The 17,308-nt window shown below is 51.5% G+C and overlaps 1 protein-coding gene and 1 long non-coding RNA gene across 25 annotated transcripts in view; one reads left to right on the top strand and one right to left on the bottom strand.

Annotated features, from left to right (window-relative positions):
* The window catches only part of IL3RA (interleukin 3 receptor subunit alpha), a 45,905-nt gene that overhangs the window by 6,141 nt on the left and 22,456 nt on the right, over positions 1-17,308 (top strand). For 3 of the 7 annotated variants that reach the window (NM_002183.4, XM_005274431.6, XM_047442090.1), the window contains 6 exons: positions 2,391-2,509; positions 5,506-5,620; positions 9,175-9,307; positions 9,397-9,581; positions 13,296-13,411; positions 15,936-15,962. In NM_002183.4, coding sequence (NP_002174.1) covers positions 2,391-2,509; positions 5,506-5,620; positions 9,175-9,307; positions 9,397-9,581; positions 13,296-13,411; positions 15,936-15,962 — 695 coding nt within the window. The remainder of the gene's footprint in view (positions 1-2,390; positions 2,510-5,505; positions 5,621-9,174; positions 9,308-9,396; positions 9,582-13,295; positions 13,412-15,935; positions 15,963-17,308) is intronic. The other 4 variants (XM_005274432.2, XM_017029491.3, XM_047442091.1 and 1 more) reach the window with 2 other exon arrangements.
* Positions 1-17,308, bottom strand: part of LOC101928032 (uncharacterized) — a 41,203-nt gene that overhangs the window by 5,652 nt on the left and 18,243 nt on the right. For 11 of the 18 annotated variants that reach the window (XR_007068376.1, XR_001755759.2, XR_007068375.1 and 8 more), the window contains 3 exons: positions 12,647-13,215; positions 9,695-9,793; positions 9,385-9,546 (listed from right to left, as the gene is read on the bottom strand). This is a non-coding gene — a long non-coding RNA (uncharacterized LOC101928032). Of the gene's footprint in view, positions 1-7,103; positions 7,662-7,848; positions 8,275-9,384; positions 9,547-9,626; positions 9,794-12,646; positions 13,216-15,608; positions 16,551-17,308 lie in introns of those variants that run through there. The other 7 variants (XR_001755760.3, XR_001755761.2, XR_001755754.2 and 4 more) reach the window with 7 other exon arrangements.

The following is a 17,308-nucleotide window of genomic DNA, read 5'->3' on the forward strand; positions in this document are numbered from 1 at the left end:
TCAGCTGGGCGTGGTGGCGGGCGCCTGTAATCCCAGTTACTCGGGAGGCTGAGGCAGGAGAGTCGCTTGAACCCGGGAGGAGGAGGTTGCAGTGAGCCTAGATCACGCCATTGCACTCCAGCCTGGGCGACAGAGTGAGACTCCGTCTCAAAATGAATGAATGAATGAATGAATTTCTTATAAGAATTTTTTTCCCCAGACAGTTTGTTTTAAGGGATAAATTATCCTTCTAAGTTAGAAGAAAATAATGCCAGAAGTCTAGACATTCTTATGCTTTGGTCCCGCTTATCAAACCAAGGTTGCTGACCTTGATAACCACTCAAGATCCTTACAGTTTATAAAGTCATTTCCTCAAGTTTTCTAAGTGGCCGATCAGAGATAAACCCTAGAGAAATAGTTGATGTATGTTTCTAGCTTTGGGTGACCAGCAAAATGTGATAGAATATTGCCTTTTACTGGCCGGGTGCAACGGCTCACGTCTGTAATCCCAGCACTTTGGGAGGCTGAGGCGGGTGGATCACTTGAGGTCAGGAGTTCAAAACCAGCTTGGCCATCATGGTGAAACCCCGTCTGTACTAAAAATACAAAAAAATTAGCTGGGCGCGGTGCTGTGCACCTGTAATCCCTGCTACTCAGGAGGCTGAGGCAGGAGAATCACTTGAACCCGGGAGGCGGAGGTTGCCGTGAGCCAAGATCACGCCATTGCACTCCAACCTGGGTGACAGAGCGAGGCTCCATCTCAAAAAAAAAAAAAAAAAAAGAATATTGCCTTTAACATCTTTGTACAGGTCATTTATGAAATATCTTGAGCTCTGTGATGGCTAAGAGAGACCTTCTTTTTCTTTCTTTCTTTTTTTTTTTTTTGAGACGGAGTTTTTTTGTTTTTTTGAGATGGAGTCTCGCTCTGTTACCCAGGCTGGAGTGCAGTGGCACGATCTCAGCTCACCGCAACCTCCGCCTCCCGAGTTCCAGTGATTCTCCTGCCTCAGCTTCCTGATTAGCTGGGATTACAGGCGCCCGCCACCACGCCCAACTAATTTTTGTATTTTTAGTCGCGACGGGGTTTCACCGTGTTAGCCAGGATGGTCTTGATCACTTGACCTGGTGATCCGCCCACCTTGGCCTCCCAAAGTGCTGGGATGACGGGCGTGAGCCACCACGCCCGTTTGCTTTATGACTTCTACCAGCTCACAGAAGTCTCCTGTGTACATAGAACTCCACTTCCCAGCCAGGCTCAGTAACTCACGTCTGTGATCCCAGCACTTTGGGAGGCTGAGGCAGGCAGATCATGTGAGGTTGGGAGTTCGAGACCAGCCTGGCCAACATGGTGAAACCCCATCTCTAGTAAAAATACAAAAATTAGCCGAGTGTGGTGGCAGGCACCTGTTATCCCAGCTGCACAGCAGGCTGACACAGGATAATCGCTTGAACCCGGGAGGCGGAGGTTGTAGTGAGCCGAGATCGCGCCACTGAATTCCAGCCTGGGCGACAGAGTGAGACTCCGTCTCAAAACAAACAAGCAAACAAAAATACCCATTACAATGTTGTTTTAAGATTGTTGTATATCAACTGGGCATGGTGGCTCATGCTTGTAATCCCAGCACTTTGAGAGGCCGAGGCGGACAGATCACGAGGTCAGGAGATCGAGACCATCCTGGCCAACATGGTGAAACCCCATCTCTAGTAAAAATACAAAAATTAGCCGGGCGTGGTGGTGGGCTCCTGTAATCCTAGCTACTCGGGAGGCTGAGGCAGGAGAATCGCTTGAACCCGGGAGGTAGAGGTTGCGGTGAGCTGAGATCGTGCCACTGCACTCCAGCCTGGGTGACAAGAGCAAAACTCCGTCTCAAAAAAATAAAAAATTTAAAAAAATAAAGAACTCGACCTCCCAAAGGTATTGGCTAACTCCACGGGCAAAAAAACCATACCCATTACAATGCTGTTTTAAGATTGTTGACCTGGTGCGGTGGCTCATGCCTGTAATCCCAGCACTTTGGGAGGCTGAGGCGGACGAATCATGAGGTCAGGAGATCGAGACCATCCTGGCTAACACGGTGAAACGCCATCTCTACTAAAAATACAAAAAAAAAAAAATTAGCCGGGCGTGGTGGCGGGCGCCTGTAGTCCCAGCTACTCGGGAGGCTGAGGCAGGAGAGTTGCTTGAACCAGGAGGCGGAGCTTGCAGTGAGCTGAGATCGTGCCACTGTAGTCCAGCCAGGGCGACAAGAGTGAAACTCCATGTCAAAAAATTTAAAAAAATTAAATAAAAGAACTCCACCTCCCAAAGGTATTGGCTAACTCCACGGGCAAAAAAAAAAAACCATACCCCTTACAATGCCGTTTTAAGATTCTTACGTATCTCTTCGAACTCCAACCTGTCACCGTTTTAGATCCAAACCCACCAATCACGAACCTAAGGATGAAAGCAAAGGCTCAGCAGTTGACCTGGGACCTTAACAGAAATGTGACCGATATCGAGTGTGTTAAAGACGCCGACTATTCTATGCCGGTAAATCATACTCTCTATTGTTTTTTTATTTTTATTTTATTTATTTATGTATTTATGTATTTATTTATTTTTTGAGACGGAGTCTTGCTCTGTCGCCCAGGCTGGACTGCGGTGACCCGATCTCCGCTCTCTGCAACCTCCACCTCCCAGGTCCATGCCATTCTCCTGCCTCAACCTCCCGAGTAGCTGGGACTACAGGCGCCCGCCACCATGCCCGGCTAATTTTTTTGTATTTTTAGTAGAGATGGGGTTTCACTGTGTTAGCCAGGAGGGTCTCGATCTCCTGACCTCGTGATCTGCCCGCCTCGGCCTCCCAAAGTGCTGGGATTACAGGCGCGAGTCACCGCGCATGGCCCAGACTCTCTAATGTTGACGAACAAGACGTTTCCGTCTTCTGCAGGAATCTCAGAACCAATACTGCTCCCATCGCTGGTGTCATGACTACCTGGTTTCTGCCCCGAAGTCAGGTGTGGGATTTGAAGTGACTTTGGAGGGTCTGGTTCCCCGTCCGCGGGACATCTAAGATGGCACACACTGGACAGGGTGGATGTGAAAGTGAAATGAGGCTAAGCTATGACTGGTGCGAAACCCAACCCCACGCTGGGCGTGGTGGCTCACGTCTGTAATCCCAGCACTTTGGGAGGCTGAGGCGGGCGGATCATGAGGTCAGGAGTTCGAGACCAGTCTGGCCAACACGGTGAAACGCTGTCTCTGCTAAAAATACGAAAGTTAGCCGGGCACAGTGGCTCACACCAGCACTTTGAGAGGCTGAGGCGGATGGATCACCTGGGGCCAGGAGTTCGAGACTAGTCTGGGCAACATGGTGAAACCCCGCCTCCACTAAAAATATAAAAATTAGCTGGGCATGGTGGTGGGCGCCTGTAATCCCAGTTACTTGGGAGGCTGAGGCAGGAGAATCGCTTGAACCCGGGAGGCAGAGGTTGCATTGAGCCGAGACTGTGCCACTGCACTCCAGCCTGGGGGACGAGAGCAAGACTTCATGTCAAAAAAGAAAAAGAAAAATTAGCCGGATGTGGTGGCACATGCCTGTAATACCAGCTATTCAGGAGGCTGAGGCAGGAGAATTGCTTGAACCTGGGAGGCCGAGGTTGCACTGAGCCGAGATTGTGCCACTGCACTCCAGCCTGGGTGACAGAGTGAGACTCCATCTCAAAACAAAAACAAAAACAAAAGCAAAAACAAAACAAAAGTGTGTGCTCAGGAAACAAGGTCCTCATCACGAAATCCTTCCAAATCCCCCATCTTGTCATCACCTGCGTTCTCAGGGTTTGAGAACAGCGCCAGACCTCATGGGGTGGCCCAGGTGACACTGTGAGCTATTTACAAGTCAGTGTCTTATGGGAAAGGAGCACGTTTCCCTGAGAACCTATTTGGTCCCCTCCAAGAGCTATGTTCGTTCAATACAATTCAAATCACGGCCCTTCATGCGTCTGCTCGGGCCACCATTATAAAATCCTACCCCCAGCTCCAAATACAGTCCCATTGAACTTTGTGATTTTGGAGAGTAGAGATAAAACAGTCTAGAATCCCAGAGCGATTTTACCATACCATGGCAAACTGACTCTCAACTTTAGAAACACAAATGCTGAAAAAAAAACTAAGGAAATTTTGAAAAAGAAGGTGAATGAAGGAGAACCTGCCTTACCTATATCAAAAGGCACTGAAAAGTTCATACCCAATGTGCGGATTGCTATAAGAATACACAAGTAGGCCGGGCGTGGTGGCTCACGCCTGTCATCCCAGCACTTTGGAGGCCGAGGCGGGTGGATCACGAGGTCAGGAGATCGAGACCCTCCTGGCTAACACGGTGAAACCCCGTCTCTACTAAAAATATAAAAATTAGCCGGGCGTGGTGGCTGGTGCCTGTAGTCCCAGCTACTCGGGAGGCTGAGGCAGGAGAATGGCTTGAACCTGGGAGGCAGAAGCTTGCAGTGAGCCGAGATCGCGCCACTGCACTCCAGCCTGGGCGACAGAGCGAGACTCTGTCTCAAAAAAACAAAAACAAAAGCAAACAAAACGAAGAATATACAAGTAGATTAATGAAATGTGGCCGGGTGCGGTGGTGAGGCAGGAGAATTGCTTGAACCCGAGAGGTGGAGGTTGCAGTGAGCTGAGATCGCACCACTGAAGTCTAGCCTGGGCAAGCGGAGTGAGGCCCTGTCTTAACAAAAAAACAAAGAAACAAAAAACAAACAAACAAGAAAAAAACAAAGCAAAACAAACAGAAAAGTATTTCACTAATATTTACTGCTAAGTGGGATTATTTTTATTCAAGCTTTTGTATCTTTAGAAAAAAATTGTGGCCGGGCGCGGTGGCTCACGCCTGTCATCCCAGCACTTTGGGAGGCCGAGGAGGGTGGATCACGAGGTCAGGAGATCGAGACCCTCCTGGCTAACACGGTGAAACCCCGTCTCTACTAAAAATATAAAAATTAGCCGGGCGTGGTGGCGGGCGCCTGTAGTCCCAGCTACTTGGGAGGATGAGGCAGGAGAATGGCATGAACCCGGGAGGGAGAGGCTACAGTGAGCCGAGATCGCGCCCCTGCACTCCAGCCTGGGCGACAGAGCGAGACTCCCTCTCAAAAAAAAAAAAAACAGAAAAAAGTCTTGGCCGGGCACGGTGGCTCACGCCTGTAATCCCAGCACTTTGGGAGGCTGAGGCAGGCGGATCACATGAGGTCAGGAGTTCGAGACCAGCCTGACCAACATGGTGAAACCCTGTCTCTACCCAGAAAAATACTTTAAAAATTAGCTGGGCGTGGTGGCGGGCACCTGTAATCCCAGGTGCTCGGGAGGTTGAAGCAGGAGAATGGCTTGAACCCGGGAGGGAGAGGCTGCAGTGAGCCGAGATCACGCCACTGCACTCCAGCGTGGGCGACGAGAGCGAAACTCTGCCTCAAAAAAAATCTGAACATCATTAGCGTCAAATTAAGCATGGTCTGTCAGCAGCCATCATAGTCCTATGTCTCTCTTAGGCAGTGAACAATAGCTATTGCCAGTTTGGAGCAATTTCCTTATGTGAAGTGACCAACTACACCGTCCGAGTGGCCAACCCACCATTCTCCACGTGGATCCTCTTCCCTGAGAACAGTGAGAAAAATGTTCATTGTTTGTTTATTCTCTATTCCCTCCCTCCTTCCCTCTCTCCCTCCCTCTCGCCTTCGCTGTGTCTTTTTTCTTTTCTTTTTCTCTTTCTTTCTTTCTTTCTTTCTTTCTTTCTTTCTTTCTTTCTTTCTTTTTCTTTCTTTCTGTTTCTGTTTCTTTCTTCCTTTCTTTTTCTTTCTTTCTTTCCTTCTTTCCTCTCTTTCTTTTCTTTCTCTTTCCCTCCCTCCCTTCTTTCTTTTCTTCACTTCCTTCCCTCCCTCCTTCTCTCCTTTTCCTCCCTCCTCCTTCCCACCCTACTTCCTCTCTCTCCTTCCTTCCCTTTCGTTTTCTTTTCCTCCCTGCCTCACTCCCTTCCTTCCTTCTCTCCCTCCTCTTTTCCTTCCTTCTTCCCTCCTTCCCTTTCTCTCTCTCTCTCTTTCTCTCTTTCCCCCTCCCCTCCCTTCCCCTCCTCTCCCCTCTCCTTTCCTGACACGGTCTTGCTCTGTTGCCCAGGCTGGAGCGCAGTGGTGCAATCACAGCTTACTGCAGGCTTCACCTCCTGAGCTCAAACAATCCTTCTGCCTCAGCCTCCCACGTAGGTGGAACTACACCCATGTACCACCATGCCCACCTAATTTTTTAAACACCTTTTTTTTTTTTTAGACAGAGTCTCACTCTGTCCACCAGGCTGGAGTGCACTGGCGCGATCTCGGCTCACTGCAACCTCTGGCTCCCGGGTTCAAGCGATTCTCCTGCCTCAGCCTCCCGAGTAGCTGGGATTATAGGCGCCCACCGCCACGCCCAGCTAATTCTTGTATTTTTAGTAGAGATGGGGTTTCACCATGTTGGTCAGGCTGGTCTCAAACTCCTGACTTCGTGATCTGCCCGCCTCGGCCTCCCAAAGTGCTGGGAGTACAGGGGTGAGCCACCGCGCCCAGCCTTAAATACTTTTTGTAGAGATGGGGTGTCGCTATGTTACCTGAGCTGGTCTCAAACTCCTAGGCTCAAGTGATCCTCCCGCCTCAGTCTCCCAAAGTGCAGGGATTGTAAGCATCAGCCACCACGCCTGGCCTCTTCTTTGTTTTTTAATTAATTAGAAGTCCATGGTTTATTTTTTTGTTTTGTTTTGTTTGTTTTTCTGTGATGGAGTCTTGTTCTTGTCGCCCAGGCTGGAGTGCAGTGGTGCGATTTCAGCTTACCGCAAACTCCGCCTCCCGGGTTCAAGCGATTCTCCTGCCTCAGCCTCACAAGTAGCTGGGATTACAGGCACCCGCCACCAAGCCCGGCTAAATTTTGTATTTTAAGTAGAGACGGGGCTTCACCATGTTGGTCTCGAACTCCTGACCTTGTGATCCACCCGCCTCAGCCTCCCAAAGTGCTGGGATGACAGGCGGGAGCCACTGTGCCGGGCCTCAATTTAATTATTTTTAAGTTTAATGGATTTCCAGGGAGTTATGCCGAGTCGGAAAAAAAAGACCACTCCAGAGCGTGACACACACAGTGATTTCATTAATACAACTGTCTTGAAATGGCAAAATTTTACAAATAGAAAACAGTCTCCTGGGTTGCAGGGATATAAGCAGGAGTGAGAGCTGAGAGAGGTGGGTTTGGCTGTAAAAGTGCTCCTTGGGGAGGCCGGGCGCAGTGGCTCACGCCTGTAATCCCAGCACTTTGGGAGGCCGAGGCGGGCGGATCACCTGAGGTCAGGAGTTCGAGACCAGCCTGGCCAACATGGTGAAACCCCGTCTCTACTAAAAACACAAAAATTAGCCGGGCATGGTGGCTCACGCCTGTAATCCCAGCACTTTGGGAGGCCGAGGCAGGCGGATCACCTGAGGTCAGGAATTCGAGACCAGCCTGGCTAACATGGTGAAACCCCATCTCTACTAAAAATACAAAATTAGCCAGGGGTGGTGGCACATGCCTGTAGTCCCAGCTACTCAGGAGGCTGAGGCAGGAGAATCACTTGAACCCGGGAGGCGGAGATTGCGGTGAGCTGAGATCGTGCCATTGCTCTCCAGCCTGGGCAACAAGAGTGAAATTCCATCTAAAAAAAAAAAAAAATTAAAAAGAAATTAGCGGCCGGGCCCAGTGGCTCACACCTGTAATCCCAGCACTTTGGGAGGCCGAGGTGGGTGGATCGCGAGGTCAGGAGATCGAGACCATCCCGGCTAACATGGTGAAACCCCATCTCTACTAAAAATACAAAATTAGCCAGGGGTGGTGGCACATGCCTGCAGTCCCAGCTACTCAGGAGGCTGAGGCAGGAGAATCACTTGAACCTGGGAGGCGGAGGTTGTGGTGAGCCATTGAGCTCCAGCCTGGGCAACAAGAGTGAAACTCTGTCTTAAACACACACACAGATGCACACACACGCACACACACACAAACAATGAAAGAAAAACATCTGTAGTCCCAGCAGTTTGGGAGGCTGAGGCGGGTGGATCACTTGAGGTCAGGAATTCGCGACCAGTCTGGGCAACATGGTGAAACCCCATCTCTACTAAAAATACAAAAATTAGCTGGGTGTGGTAGTGGGTGCCTGTTGTCCCAGATACTTGGGAGGCTGAGGCAGGAGAATTGCTTGAACCCGGGAGGTGGAGGTTGCAGTGAGCCGAGATGGCGCCATTGTACTCCAGCCTAGGCGACGGAGCGAGACTCTGTAAAAATGAATAAATAAATCATTAAAAGAATATGCAGGATCTCTCCATATTATTATTATTTTTTACAACGGCTTGTGTATCTACCATGGTCTCAAAATACAAAAGGCACTCTAAAAAGGAATTAGAGTTTTATTTTTTTTTTTGAGACGGAGTCTCGCTCTTGTCACACAGGCTGGAGTGCAGTGACGTGGCCTGGGCTCACTGCAACCTCTGCCTCCTGGGTTCAAGAAATTCTCCTGCCTCAGCCTCCCTAGTAGCTGGGATTACAGCGGCCCGACATCACGCCCGGCTAATTTTTGTATTTTTAGTAGAGGCAGGGTTTCACCATGTTAGCCAGGCCGGTCTCGAACTCCGGACCTCAGGTGATCCTCCTGCCTCGGCCTCCCAAAGTGCTGGGATTACAGGCGTGAGCCACCATGCCTGGGTTTGTTTTTTTATTTTTTTGAGACGAAGGCTCACTCTGTCGCCCAGGCTGGAGTGCAGTGGCGTGATCTCAGCTCCATGCAACCTCTGCCTCCTGGGTTCAAGAAATTCTCCTGCCTCAGCCTCCCGAGTAGCTGGGATTACAGCGGCCCGACATCACACCTGGCTAATTTTTTATATTTTTAGTAGAGACTGGGTTTCACCATGTTAGCCAGGCTGGTCTCGAACTCCGGACCTCGGGTGATCCACCTGCCTCGGCCTCCCAAAGTGCTGGGATCACAGGCGCGTGCCACCAGACACAGCTAATTTTTGCATTTTTAGTAGAGATTGGGTTTCTCCATGTTGGCCAGGCTGGTCTCGAACTCCTGACCTCATGTGATCCACCCGCCTCGGCCTCCCAAAATGCTGGGGTGACAGGCGTGAGCCACCGCGCCCGGTCCCGATTCGAGTTCTCTTTCATGTTTGTGAACCCAGGTGGGAAGCCTTGGGCAGGTGCGGAGAATCTGACCTGCTGGATTCATGACGTGGATTTCTTGAGCTGCAGCTGGGCGGTAGGCCCGGGGGCCCCCGCGGACGTCCAGTACGACCTGTACTTGAACGTTGCCAAGTAGGTGTGCCCGTGGGCAGAGGCCGGGCTGTCCCTGGTGCGGGTGCCATCGGCGTGGGGTCGTCCCCCAACCTTACCGCTTACCGCAGCAGGCGTCAACAGTACGAGTGTCTTCACTACAAAACGGATGCTCAGGGAACACGTATCGGGTGTCGTTTCGATGACATCTCTCGACTCTCCAGCGGTTCTCAAAGTTCCCACATCCTGGTGCGGGGCAGGAGCGCAGCCTTCGGTATCCCCTGCACAGATAAGTTTGTCGTCTTTTCACAGATTGGTGAGTAGCCCGGGACACTCCCTCCCACCCTCAGTTCTGTGATACCACGGCTTTAGCGCCAGGCCAGATCCCACGGGACCACGTGGCTCCCAACGCAGACGTTGGCCTCTCACATTTCCAGAGGCTGGACGTTGGAGGTCAGCGTGCTGGCTGGCTGGGCTCCTCGGGAGGTCTCTTCCTGGCTTGGAGAGAGGGTCATCTTCTCACTGTGTCTTCACGTGGTGTAGAGAGAGAGAGAGATGAAGTTCTGGGGTCTCTTGTTAGAAGGGCACTAACACCATCATGGGTCCCATCATGGGTCATAGGATCCCTCACCATGGGTCATGGGACCCCCCATCATGGGTTCCATCATGGGTCCCATCATGGGTCATAGAATCCCCCATGATGGGTTTCATCATGAGTCATAGAACCCCCTATCATGGATTCCATCATGGGTCATGGGAACCCCCATCATGGGTCCCATCATGGTTCATAGGATCCCCCATCATGGGTTTCATCATGAGTCATAGAACCCCCTATCATGGATTCCATCATGGGTCATGGGAACCCCCATCATGGGTCCCATCATTGGTCATAGGACCCCCTATCATGGGTTCCATCATGGGTCATGGGACACCCCCCATCATGGGTTCCACCATGAGTCATGGGATCCCTCATCGTGGGTTCCATCATGGGTCATGGGACCCCCCATCATGGGTTCCATCATGGGTAATAGGACCCCCCCATCATGGGTTCCACCATGAGTCATGGGATCCCTTATCATGGATTCCATCATGGGTCATGGGACCCCCTATCATGGATTCCATCATGGGTCATGGGACCCCCCCATCATGGGTCCCATCATGAGTCATGGGATCCCTCATCATGGGTTTCATCATGGGTCATAGGACCCCCATCATGGATTCCATCATGGGTCATGGGAACCTCCATCATGGGTCCCATTATGGGTCATAGAATTCCCCATCATGGGTTCCATCATGAGTCATGGGACCCCCCATCATGGGTTCCACATGGGATCCCTCATCATTGGTTCCATCATGGGTCATAGGATCCCCCATCATAGGTCCCATCATGGGTTCCACATGGGATCCCCCATCATAGGTCCCATCATGGGTCATGGGACCCCCCCCATCATGGGTTCCATCACGGGTCATGGGACCCCCCCCATCATGGGTTCCATCACGGGTCATGGGACCCCCCCCAATCATGGGTTCCATCATGGGTCATGGGAACCCCCATCATGGGTTTCATCATGGGTCATAGGATCCCCTATCATGGGTTCCATCATGGGTCATGGGACCCCCCCCATCACGGGTTCCATCATGGGTCATGGGAACCCCCATCATGGGTTTCATCATGGGTCATAGGATCCCCTATCATGGATTCCATCATGAGTCATGGGATCCCTCATCATGGGTTCCATCATGGGTCATGGGACCCCCCCCCCCATCATGGGTCGTGGGACCCCCACCCCCATCATGGGTCATGGGAGCCCCCATTGTGAGTCATGGAATCCCTCATCATGGGTCTCATCATGGGCCATGGGTCCCACCATGGGTCATGGGAGCCCCCATCATGAGTCATGGAATCCCTCATCATGGGTCATGGGTCCCATCATGGGTCATGGGAGCCCCCATCATGGGTCATGGGTCCCATCATGGGTCACGGGAGCCCCCATCATGGGGGTCCACCCTCATAACTTCAGCCCACGCCAGTCACCTCCCAAAGACCCCACCTTCTAACACCGCCCAACCAGGGGTTAGAGCTTCAGTGGAGGAATTTGGGACAGAAGGACACACACTTTCAGTCCACGATACCCGAGCTCCGAGGAACCTCCCAGGTGGTGAGAATGTCAATATGCCCAGAGCTGACGTGCCCTGAACCCAAGGGCAGGGTGCTCGGATGCTTCAGAAGAGGAGGGGGAAACGAGGAAGAGGAGGAGAAGGACAAGGAGAAGAGAAGGGAGGAGAGGAAGAACATGAGCAGGGGGAGGAGGAGGAGAAGGAAAAGAAACAGAGGAAAAGGAGGGGGAGGAGGTAGAGATGGAGAGGGAAGGAAGAGGAGGAAGAGAAGAAAACGGAGAAAGAGGAGGGGGAGGAGGAGGAGGAAGAGAAAATGGAGAAAGAGGAGGGGGAGGAGGTGGAGATGGGGAGGGGAGGAAGAGGAGGAAGAGAAGAAAACAGGAGGGGGAGGAAGAGAAGAAAATGGAGGGAAAGGAGGGGGAGGAGGTGGAGATGGGGAGAGAAGGAGCAGGAGGAGGAGAAGAAAGAAGAGGAAGAAAGGAGGAGGAGAGGGTGGAGGAGGAAGAGGGTGAAGGAGAGAGGGAGGAGAATGGAGAGGAGGAGGAGGCGGGGGAGGGAAGAGAAGGAGGTGAGGAGGAGGAAGGGGAGGATAGAGAAGGTGGGGTAGAAGGGTGGTGAGGTGGGGAGGGAGAAGGAGGGGGAGGAGGAGAGAGGAGGACTGGGGGGAGGAAGGGGGAGGAGGGGAGAGAGGAGGAGGGAGGAGGGAGAAGGAGGGGGAGAGGATGGAGGAAGGGGAGCAGATGGAGGAAGGCGAGCAGGAGGGGGAGGAAAAAGGAGGGGCAGGAGGAAGAAGGAGCGGGAGGAGAGGAGGAGGAGGAGGAGGAGAATGGGCAGGGAGGAGGAGAGGGAAGAAAAGGAGGGGGAGGAGGAAGGAGGGGGAGGAGGGTGGAGGGGGAGGAGGGTGGAGGGGGAGGAGGGTGGAGGGGGAGGAGGAAGGAGGGAGAAGGAGGGGAGAGGATGGAGGAAGAGGAGCAGGAGGGGGAGGAAAAAGGAGGAGGGGCAGGAGGGGAGGAGGAGAAAGGAGAGTGGAGGAGGAGGGTGACAAGGAGAATGGGGAGGAGAGAGGAGTGGTAGAAAAAGGAGAGAGAGGAAGAGTAGGAGCGGAGGGGGAGGAGGGGAGGGGAGGGGAGGGGAGAAAGACCAGGAGGGTAGGAGGAGGGGGAGGAGGAGGAGGGGGCCAGGGCTGGACTTCCTTCCAGGGGCCCAGGGGAGACCCAGCCAGGCAGCCGGACACACAGGGCTGGGCTGGTAGTCGGGTCACACCTGAGGATGTGGAAGTGCCTGGGGTTCCCGGGAAGTGGAGGATGTCCTGGGCCACTGGGAGAGGCGGCACATCCCCTGGGGGGCGGAGGTGGGGGAGGTGAGAAGCCAGGCAGGGGCCAGGAAGTGGAAGCTTCAGGAGGATGTGTGCAGGTCAAAGTGTAGGAGTCTGCATCTTGAATGATGCAGAGAGGGCCTCCAAGGCTCCAGTGTGCTGCAGGTGGGCAGAGGGGGCATGGGAAGTAGGGGTTGGCCCTGGGCAGGGGTGGGGAGTGGGCCAGGCTGCCCAGCGGGGCTGAGCCTAGAGATGGAAGGGGCAGGGACAAAGATGTGCAGCTGCCAGTCCTTGGAAAAGCTGAACGCCTGGTACTTCAGAGAACAAAAGGGTGGTTCTGAAGGCTGCTCCCAGGACAGTGGGGCTCCGAGGGTGCAACCCCAAGGCTCACTCCTCCCAGTGCCCCCAACGCGGCTCAGTCCTGTGTCTCTGCCTGTAGAGTTTCTTTGTTCCCTCTTCCTTCCTGGTGTTTTTCTCTCCCGCTCTCCAAATGCATAGGAGAAGTAATTTGAAGTATCTCCAGAAAAAAAAAGAGAAAAAGAAAAAGAATTGATTTCTTGTACTCCTAAATCCTAAAAGTGTTTTTCTCGTTGCTAGAGATATTAACTCCACCCAACATGACTGCAAAGTGTAATAAGACACATTCCTTTATGCACTGGAAAATGAGAAGTCATTTCAATCGCAAATTTCGCTATGAGCTTCAGATACAAAAGGTAAACTTTCACCCCGCCCCCAGCCCCCCCACCCCCGTGGACATCCCTTATTTTTGGTAAGTCGCACTCTGGGGCCTTGAAACGGGCAACAATCTCCTCTGATAACGTCACAGAAGGCATGGATCATTAAAAAACAAAAACAAAAACAAAAGGCCGGGCGCTGTGGCTCACGCCTGTCATCCCAGCACTTTGGGAGGCTGAGGCAGGTGGATCACAAGGTCAGGAGATCGAGACCATCCTGGCTAACGCGGTGAAACCCCGTCTCTACTAAAAATACGAAAAAAAATTAGCTGGGCGTGGTGGCACGGTCTTGTAGTTCCAGCTACTGGGGAGGCCGAGGCAGGAGAATTGCTTGAACCCAGGAGGTGGGGGTTGCAGTGAGCCGAGATCGCGCCATTGCACTCCAGCCTGGGCGACAGAGCGAGACTCCGTCTCAAAAAAAAAAAAAAAGTTTGAGACTGTATGTGGTCTGTTGTTTTTTATTTTTATTATTTCTATTGTTATGTGGTTTTTTAATTTTTTCTTGAACTTTCTTTTTTCTTTTGTAGTGATCTACAGATTCAATGCAAGCTTCCCAGATATTTTTGATCCACAGTTCGTTGGATCAGTTGAACATAAATATTGATTTATTTATTGAGCCACTCTGGCTCTGTAGCCCAGACTGGAGTGCAGTGGCTTAAATCTTGACTCACTGCAACCTCTGCCTCCCGGGTTCAAGTGATTCTCCTGCCTCAGCCTCCCGAGTAGCTGGGATTATGGGCACCCATCACCACACCCAGCTAAGTTTTTGTATTTTTAGTAGAAACAGAGTTTCATCATGTTGGCCAGGCTGGTCTCAAACTCCTGACCTCAGGTGATCCACCCGCCTCGGCCTCCCAAAGTGCTGGGATTACAGGTGTGAGCCTTCGTGCGCAGCCTATGTGTTATATTTAGTTTGTATTTTATTTTATTGTATTTTATTATTTATTTATTTATTTTTGAGACGGAGTCCTGCTCTGTCACCCAAGCTGTTTGTTTGTTTGTTTGTTTGTTTATTATTTTTGAGACGGAGTCCTGCTCTGTTGCCCAGGCTGGGGTGCAGTGGCATGATCTCAGCTCACTGTAACCTCCGCCTCTCGGGTTCAACCAATTCTCAGCTTCAGCCTCCTGAGTAGCTGGAATTACAGGCACCTGCCACCATGCCTGGCTAATTTTTTTTTGTATTTTTAGTAGAGATGGGGTTTCACCATCTTGTCCTGGCTGGTCTTGAACTCCTGACCTCATGATCCACCCGCCTCAGCTTCCCAAAGTGCTGGGATTACAGGCGTGAGGCACTGTGCCCCGCCATATATTTATTATTTATGCTCAAATACTAATTATTTCATATGCAATTTTTCTGTAAGTCTAAATCTGCTAAAAAACGTTAGGTCTATTAATTTCTTTTATATTACCAAGTGTTTTTTAGCCAATCTGTTTGGGTTTTTTTTTTTTTTAAGAAAATAAATGGCTGGGTGCAGTAGCTTACGCCTGTAATCCCAGCACTTTGGGAGGCCGAGGCAGGACGATCACGAGGTCAGGAGATAGAGACCATCCTGGCTAACATGGTAAAACCCCGTCTCTACTAAAAATACAAAAAAAAATTAGCTGGGCGTGGTGGCGGGCGCCTGTAGTCCCAGCTACTTGGGAGGCTGAGGCAGGAGAATGGCGTAAACCCAGAAGGCGGAGCTTGCAGCGAGCTGAGATTGTGCCACTGCACTCCATCCTGGGCAACAGAGTGAGACTCCGTCTCAGGAGAAAAAAAAAAAAAGAAAATAAATACAGCACAGACTTCTTTCTTTCACTGATTTGAGGGAGCAGGCATAGCTGCAGCCACAGGCAGAGTCGTAGCTAGTCTGATGTTGCACCCCCTACCTAGTTCGCTGGCCTGGCATAGGCTGTCTGTGGCTACCCCTGAGTGCATCTGGACACAGTCTGGGAGGACGGTGGGTCTTGTTTGTCCACCGGCCTCACAAAGCCCCCTCCCACCAAGGTCTTGCCACAGTGGCCCATAAGAAACCTTTTGGGCCAGGCGCGATGGGGCATGCCTGTAATCCCAGCACTTTGGGAGGCCGAGGTGGGCAGATCATGAGGTCAAGAGATCAAGACCATCCTGGCCAACATGGTGAAACTTTGTTTCCACTAAAAATACAAAAAATTAGCCAGGCGTGGTGGCACGCACCTGTAGTCCCAGCTACTCGGGAGACTGAGGCAAAAGAATCACTTGAATCCGGGAGGCGGAGGTTGCAGTGAGCCGAGATCACGCCACTGCATTCCAGCCTGGGTGACGGAGTGAGACTCCGTCTCATAAATAAATAAACAAACAAACCTTTTGGTCAGGTGCTATTTACTCCTAAGCTCATTATTTTGCCCCCACTGCTGCCCGAAGGCCTTCCCAGAGCCCTCACTGTTTTGCTGGTTTTCCTGGAGGGAGAAATTTGAGTTTGGGAGGAGGAGGCTTTCAGGGACGGTCCAGACACTCAAAAGTTTGCTTGCTTTTGTGTTGCAGAGAATGCAGCCTGTAATCACAGAACAGGTGAGTGTTCCCTACCCCCAGCCGCTGTACTTGACATTGCAAAGGGTGAGTTTTATTATTATTAAGAATAAAATGATAAAAAATATTAATAATTCTTATTAATAAAATAATGAAAATATTATTAATAATAAATGTTATTATTCAATGTTCAGTGACTTTCATTGGACAGACTCTTGAGTGTCACCCTTACTGCGATCTTGCAAAATTGGGATATTTCACATCCCCAAATTGAGGGATGGGAAAAGGAAGAGTCAGGGATGACACCTCCCAAGGTGTGAGAGCCAGATGCTATGGCTGGCCAGGTGCTGTCCAAACGAGGTCCACCCATTTGCCCCAGATTCCTTACCCTGGGCCAGGCAGCCCCAGTCCAGCAGGAACAAGCTACCAAACCATAGCTCCACCCAGCAGAGACAAGCATTCAGACAGGTGGCCCAGACCTCAGACAGAGGACCCTCCCCCAGCCCCTGCCTGGGATCTGCAGGAACAGACAGCCGGACCACAGCATTCTCTGTCCCCTCTCTCTCTGTCCATCTCTTTCCCCGTATCTCTTTCTCTGTCTCTGAATCTCTCTGCCTTTCTCCCTCCCTCTCTTTCTCTCTCTCTCGTCTCTATCTCCCTCCCCCTCTCTGTATCTCCCTCCCTTTTTCCCTCCCTCTATCTTTCTGGCTCTCTCCCTGTGTCTATCTCTCCCTGTCCCCATCTCTCTCTGTGTCTCTTTCCCTCCCTCTCTCATTCTCCTTCCCTCTCTCTATCTTTCTCTCCCTGTCTCTATCTCCCGCTCCGTGTCTGTCTCTATCTTTCTCCCTTTCTCCCTCCATCTCTCTCTCCCTGTCTCTCTCTCCCCGTTCCCATCTCTCTCTCTGTGTCTCTGTCTCTCCCTCTCTCATTCTCCCTCCCTCTTTTATTCTCCCTCCCTCTCTTTCTCTCTCTCTCTCTCTCTCCTGGTCTCTGTCTCCCCCCTCCCCATCTCTTTCTCTGTGTCTGTCTCTGTAACCTTCTCCATTTCTCCCTCCATCTCTCTGTCTCTCCCTGTGTCTATCTCCCACTGTCCCTGTCTGTTTCTCCGTGTCTGTCTCTGTATCTCTCTCCCTTTCTCCCTCCATCTTTCTCTCTCTCCCCCGGTCTCTATCTTCCCTTCTCCCCATCTCTCTCTCTCTGTCTGTCTCTGTATCTCTCTCCCTTTCTCCCTCCATCTTTCTCTCTCTCTCCCGGTCTCTATCTCCCCCTCTCCCCGTCTCTTTCTCCGTGTCTGTCTCTGTGTCTCTCTCCCTTTCTCCCTCCCTCCATCTTTCTCTCTCTCTCCCGGTCTCTATTTCCTCCCTCCCCATCTCTTTCTCTGTGTCTGT

Source organism: Homo sapiens, chromosome X, assembly GCF_000001405.40.
Source record: "Homo sapiens chromosome X, GRCh38.p14 Primary Assembly".
In the NCBI taxonomy this organism is placed as follows: Eukaryota; Metazoa; Chordata; class Mammalia; order Primates; family Hominidae; genus Homo; species Homo sapiens.